The 6,000-nt window shown below is 58.5% G+C and overlaps 1 protein-coding gene across 13 annotated transcripts in view; it reads right to left on the bottom strand.

The window, feature by feature from the left end:
* GRAMD1A (GRAM domain containing 1A) overlaps positions 206-6,000 on the bottom strand; it is a 31,743-nt gene continuing 25,948 nt past the window's right edge. For 7 of the 13 annotated variants that reach the window (XM_011527153.2, XM_047439133.1, NM_020895.5 and 4 more), the window contains 7 exons: positions 5,070-5,173; positions 4,811-4,984; positions 4,637-4,724; positions 3,764-3,775; positions 3,332-3,439; positions 3,128-3,248; positions 206-626 (listed from right to left, as the gene is read on the bottom strand). In XM_011527153.2, coding sequence (XP_011525455.1) covers positions 534-626; positions 3,128-3,248; positions 3,332-3,439; positions 3,764-3,775; positions 4,637-4,724; positions 4,811-4,984; positions 5,070-5,173 — 700 coding nt within the window. In that variant the 3' untranslated portion in view covers positions 206-533. Of the gene's footprint in view, positions 627-2,889; positions 2,979-3,127; positions 3,249-3,331; positions 3,440-3,763; positions 3,776-4,636; positions 4,725-4,810; positions 4,985-5,069; positions 5,174-6,000 lie in introns of all 13 variants that reach the window. The other 6 variants (NM_001320036.2, XM_017027035.2, NM_001320034.2 and 3 more) reach the window with 2 other exon arrangements.

Genomic DNA, 6,000 nt, shown 5'->3' with positions numbered 1-6,000 from the left:
ACTCCAGCTACCACGGTCTGTCCCCGGAGTTCCTGCGTTGACCTCAGATGATGTAAAGCTTGTGTAAGATGCTGCGGGAATTCCAGATCGTTTCAGTGACTATGGCCCCAGAACACAGACAGAGGTCCCCTCCCCACCATGGCAGGATCTGAGTGCAACAGGAGGCTCCCACCCACTCCCAGGGCCCCACAGGCACAGCCACAGCCACTTCTGACCCTTTATTGGGGCACTGTCGGCCCCAAATAAATATAATACATTAAACCCAGAGCTGAGGGAATCGTGCACCCCAGGAGGCGCCCCCCACAACCTCAGCCGGGCAAAATAAGTTAGTGGGGGGCCTGCCAGAGGCCGGGCCAGCTCCCTGGTCTAAAGTGCATCTCGGTTCCGTGGTCCCCACGTCTGCACAGCCCCTGGTTGGGCCGTCGGGAGGGGCGGGTGGGAGATGCCTGGCGCTCACACCGTGCCAGCAGTGGCCGCCGAGGCTCTGTGTGTCCATCTGTCCATGTGGGGGAACAGCTGCGTGGCCGGGGTCCTCAGGAAAAGCTGTCATCGGGCCGGGGCTGGGTGTCAAAGGGAGGGTCTGAGACTGTGATGCCTTGGTGCAGCTTCTCCAGCGAGAACTTCATCTGCGGGGAGGAGGTGAGCAGGGTCGGGGGTGAACGCTGGAGGCTGGGGGGTGATGTCGCCCACCCCCACCTTGCCATTGAGAAACTGAGGACGGTCTAGAGGCCATACTGCCCCACCCCAGGGTCCCTTGGTGAAAAGAGCACAGCCATGCTGCACCCAGTTTAACTTCTCAGAGGCAGCAGAGGAAGGGGCTTAGTGTGTGCCTGTGACCCCGATGGCCTAGGTTCAAATCCTGGCTCTGCTGCTTGTTACCTCAGTTAACCTCAGGCAAGTCCCGTAACCACCCTGAGCCAAAATCCCCTCATTTGAAATACGGGTCTATAACACATCTGCTCCACAGGATTATTTCAGGGTTCTGAAGAGCACTGAGAACCTGGTGTACACTAAGTGCTCAGCACATGTTAGCTGTCACCATTACCCACTCTGTGACCTCGGGCAAGCTCCTGAGCTCCTCGAACCTCTGGATGCCTCATATCGCCTACCTATGTATAAAACCGGGATAACGGCCGGGCACAGTGCCTCATGCGTGTAATCTCAGCACTTTGGGAGGCTGAGACCGGTGGATCACTTAAGGTCAGGAGTTCAAGACCAGCCTGGCCAACATGGTGAAAGCCCGTCTCTACTAAAAATACAAAAATTAGCCAGGCGTGGTGGCGGGTGCCTGTAATCCCAGCTACCTGGGAAGCTGAGGCACGAGAATCGCTTTAACCTGGAAGGCAGAGGTCGCACCACTGCACGCCAGCCTGGGTGACAGATCGAGACTGTCTCAAAAAAACTGGGATAACAAGAGCATCTTCTCAAAGGCTGGCTGTGGGGATAAAGCAGTCATGCTTAAAACCTAGAACAGCCCAGCTGCAGGTAAGTGCTCAGTCTACATCTACTGTGAGCACCAATCTGTGACGTCAACTCTGCACCCTTAGCAGTTTGACAGAGAGGAAAATGATAAAAATTTAACTCAGGGCCAGGCGTGGTGGATCACACCTGCAATCCCAGGACTTTGGGAGGCCGAGGCGGGAGGATTGCCTGAGGCCAGGAGTTTGAGACCAGCCTGGGCAACATGGTGAGACTCTGGTCTCTACAAAAAATTTTAAAATTGGCCAGGTGTGGTGGTGCCTGCCTATAGTCCCAGCTACTCAGGATGCTGAGGCAGGAGGATCACTTGAGTCAGGAGTTCGAGGCAGCGATGAGCCATGATCGTGCCACTGCACTCCAGCCTGGGCAACAGAATGAGATCCTGTCTCAAAAGAATAAAATAAAATAACGCAGGATGGGGGGCCCTGCCTACCCTCTCTATGAGTGATGGGGCCTCAGCCTTCATCTCCTCCCCACCCCATCCTGCCCCGCCCTTTCCAGTGTGAGCCTCTCCCAAGCTTGATTTCGGGGGGCAATGAGACCCCTAAAGATGAGCCTTCTGATATGGAAGGGTCCAATGAGACAAGATTTTCACCGTCACCCACAACTTCAGCTCTGATGGCCTTGGAAATGCAGGCAATGCCAGACTCTGTTTCCCATCCGCTTTCCCCCTCGACACCTTCCCCGAGTGCCTAACACTTGCTCTGACCCACCACAACTGCTGGCCTGACACTTGCTCTGACCCACCGCAACTGCTGGCCTGACACTTGCTCTGACCCACCGCAACTGCTGGCCTGAGTCTACTGGGGCCTGAGGGAATTGTCGTGTGATGACATCACATTTATTGGGCATCTGCTTTGTCCCTGGCACTAGGCTCAAACTCAGGACAGCCAGCCCACATCCAGTGTTTCCTGCAGGCCTGGCACCACTCCCAATGTCAACTTGTCTCATCCTCACAACAGTCTTTGAGGTAGCATCAGTCATTATCCTGTGCACAGAGGAGTCCACGGCCACCATGGCAAAATCACTTGCACGAGGTCACACACCGGAATTGGAACCTGGTTGTCTGAGTAGACATTGTCCCTGAACTACACTGGGTGTCTGGGTCCACTCCGTTTTGGAGATGAGACCTCAGGTCCTTTGGAGAGTCTCTCCCCTTCAGACCATGTGACCCCTTAGTTACCCCAGAGTGGGGTAGCGGGTAGAGGGACCACACGTGGCCTGCCCTGGCTGTTGTGATGTGTCAGGGGTAGGCCTGGGACCCCAGCAGCCAATGAGAGTAAGCTCCGTGGTCCCCTGTGGGGGGAAAAGGGTGGCCTCCAATGAAGCCAACCCTGGAGATGGGCACAGGGCAGAGTGGGCACGAGAGACTGACTCTTACTGCCATTGAGTGACCAAACCCGGCCGTGCCTAATGTGAGACGCCTCTGGACTTTTCTCCAGGACGTGAGCCAATCAGTTCTGTCTTCCATCCATGCTTCCATGCTTTCCCCTGCAATGCTGTGGGGTGGGGACTCTGAGCGGCTTCCTCATTTTACAGAGGAGGACACTGAGATCCGGAGAGGGGAAGTGCCTGCCGCACGGTGGGGTTTCAACACAGGACCCTGCAGCCCCGCAGCCCCGAGCCCTGCCCGAGCGGCGCCTCCTACCTCATCCAGGAGCTCCACGGAGGCCCGCAGGATCTGCCTCCACTTGTGCACCTCCACGCTGTGGAATTGCTTCTGCAGCGCCAGGATCTCGGCCCACTCTGTGGCCGTCTGGGGGAACTTGCTGTGGGGATGCCAGGCCTGAGCAGGGCCTTGGCCTCCCCCGATGTGCCCAAGCCCCCCCATTTCCCCAGGCTACCCACTCACCCCTTGGCCAGGGCCAGGCTGTGCCAGGACTCAAAGGTGTGGGCTGTCCTTTCCAGGGACCAGAGGCGGTAGAAGAGCAGGACGTTGAGGGCGATGAGGATGATAAGGCTGGGGACAGGGGTCAGAGGTCAGGATTCCTGGGGTCTAGATGCTCTGAACACCCCCAAACAACTACATCTTGTAGGGACACCTCTATCCCCCATTGCAGAGGAGGAGAATTAGGCTCAGAGAGGATGAGAGACATGCCTAGGGTTGCACAGTCCATAGCAGGGAAGTCAGTGTTCAAACCCAGGTCTGTCTGATGCCCATACCCTTGACTGCCATGCCAGGCCACCTCCCTGGGGGAGCTGGGGGGCATGGGGTGGGGAGAAGAGGCTGCAGCAGGGGTGGGGTGCAGGGAGGGGAGGGCAGGGGGAGGACTCGGGACCCTACCTCACACAGATCCTGCAGCAGCAGCAGTGAGGGGAGACAGAGAGATGAGCGCCGCCTGGCCTGCCCCCGACACCCCCAGCCCTCCTCACCCGGGGCAGCTCTTGGCTGAGAGCACCACGCCCCCTCACTGGATGAGAGCTGAGAGCTGAGGCTCAGAGGCTGAGCATGTAGCTGGCCTGACCCTCACCTCGCAGGGTCTGCTCAACCCCGGGATCCTGCTTCTGTTTCCTCCCAGCGTCCTGCCCGCCAACTCCTGCAGGCTTCTGGGCAGGAGTGTGGGTTCTCCCTGCCCAAGCCCTTAGCCTACGCGGTCTCCACTCTCTCAGGACGCCCATCCTGACTGCCCCCTCTGGCCTGGGAGGAAGCCGCCGCTGGCCTCCCAGGGCTTCCCCACTCCCAGCCCCAACCCCTCTGCCCATACCTCCCCCATCCCAGCCCGGATCACTCTGGTCTGGTGTGAGGTCTATCTTTTCCTCAAGGTCACTGCGGTGTCCTCAGCATCGCCCAGCTTAGGAGTGGGCACAGAGAACATAATGTCCATAAATGACCTCACTTGTTAGGCACACCTCTCCCTGTGCACCTAATTCCAGAATCTTTGTGTGCCTGCTCCTCCAGAAAGCCCCCCTTGATCCTTGGGTGAGGTCAGGCCCCTCTGATCTCCCATAGCCCCCCCCGGCTCTGCTGTTCTAGCAGGGAAGGCTTCTCCATGACAAACCGGCACATCCCAAACATTGCCTTGTCTAATCCTTGCTGTGAGCAAACCCACGCTCCCACTTAAGCAGAGAGCTCAAAGAGGCCACACACTTGCCCAAGGTCACACAGCCAGGAGGCAGGTTCAGGCCTGTGTGGCCACTGCTCCTGTCTCTTACTCACACAATGCTGATGAGAACCAGGGCACTGGGGATGCCTGCCCCGGGGCCCTGGTCCACAGATGGTTCGGAGAAGCGGGAGCTGAGGGAGCCTGCAGGAGAGCAGCTTGGAGTCAGATGGCCCAGTCCAGGACCCCCGATCCTCCGCCTACCCCAACCCGGCCCCAACGGAACGTACCCGAGGTGTGAATGCCGGCCCGGGCACAGGGGTCAGGATCTGGGTGCTGGGGCCCGTCCCCGTGAGCCCGCCAGCTCAGGGGCCGCTTCCGCCGCCGCAGGCCGGATAGCAAGCCCCGGGCATCCTTCCCGCCTTCCTCCAGAGACAGCTTCTCAGCCTTGGCGAGCTCTCGCTCTGCGTAAAAGAGAGGGGGCTCTGGATGTCCATACCTGGCCAGGCCATCCCCCAACCCACGCCCCAGCCGGCCTTCTGTCCCTACCCAGATGGTGGAAATAGTCTTCAATGCCGCTCCACGAGTTCTTCTCAATGAGCGACTTCACCAGGCTCCACGGCTGCTTTCGGTAGCGGATCTCAGAAGACACTCTGGGGTTGGGAGATCAGGGGAAGGAGGTAAGGGTCTGACTCCAGCCCTGGCTGCCCCGTCCCACAAGCTGAGTTTTTTCCTTCCCCTAATTCAGAGAGGGCCCCTTGTCACTCACAGACAAAACAGATGGGTTCCCTACCCCCCATGGCTTCCCTGGATACCCCATACACCACCCGCCCAGCCCAAATGCCAGCCAACTCAGCCCTCGGTCCTTCTCCACCCATGCCCACTACCTGGGCAACGCTCCCGGCGGCCTGAGCCCTGTCTACTCACAGACTGACGTCTTAACCAGACCATGCCCCTGAACCTCTTCCATTCGGCTGCTGCACCCCAGCTCCACATGGGCTCAGCTCAACATAGACAGCTGAGTCCCAAACTGACCTCCTGGTCTTTCCCCAAACCCATTCCTCCCTGCCGCCCCCATCTGGGTCAAGGGCAGCTCCGAAGTTGTAGTGATTTGGGCCAAATGCCTCGGGATATTCCTTGAGCTCTCTTTCCCTCACCGCCACATCCAATCTCTCAGCAAATCCTGTCAGCTAAACCTGCAAAATCTCTCCAGAATCTAAACTCTTCCCCCTCCATTTCCTCACCCTGATTCAGCCTCCGTCCCCTCCAGCCTGGATGTCCCAGCAGCCTCCTCCCTGGCCTCCCTGCTCCTGTACCTGTCTTTGCAGTCTGTTCCCACCAGAACAGAGGGAGCCAGAAGGAGCCTGGGACCACCTGAGTCAGGTCAGCGCCCTCCTGGCTCAGAGCCCTGGCCTGGTTGCACCTCACTCCAGGTAAAGTCAAGTCTTCACCATGAGCCACATCTGGTTCACCTTTTTTT

The sequence above is a fragment of the Homo sapiens genome, chromosome 19, assembly GCF_000001405.40.
Source record: "Homo sapiens chromosome 19, GRCh38.p14 Primary Assembly".
Taxonomy (NCBI): domain Eukaryota; kingdom Metazoa; phylum Chordata; class Mammalia; order Primates; family Hominidae; genus Homo; species Homo sapiens.
Note: the sequence above shows the minus strand (reverse complement) of the source record. Positions and strands in the feature narration are given on the sequence as shown.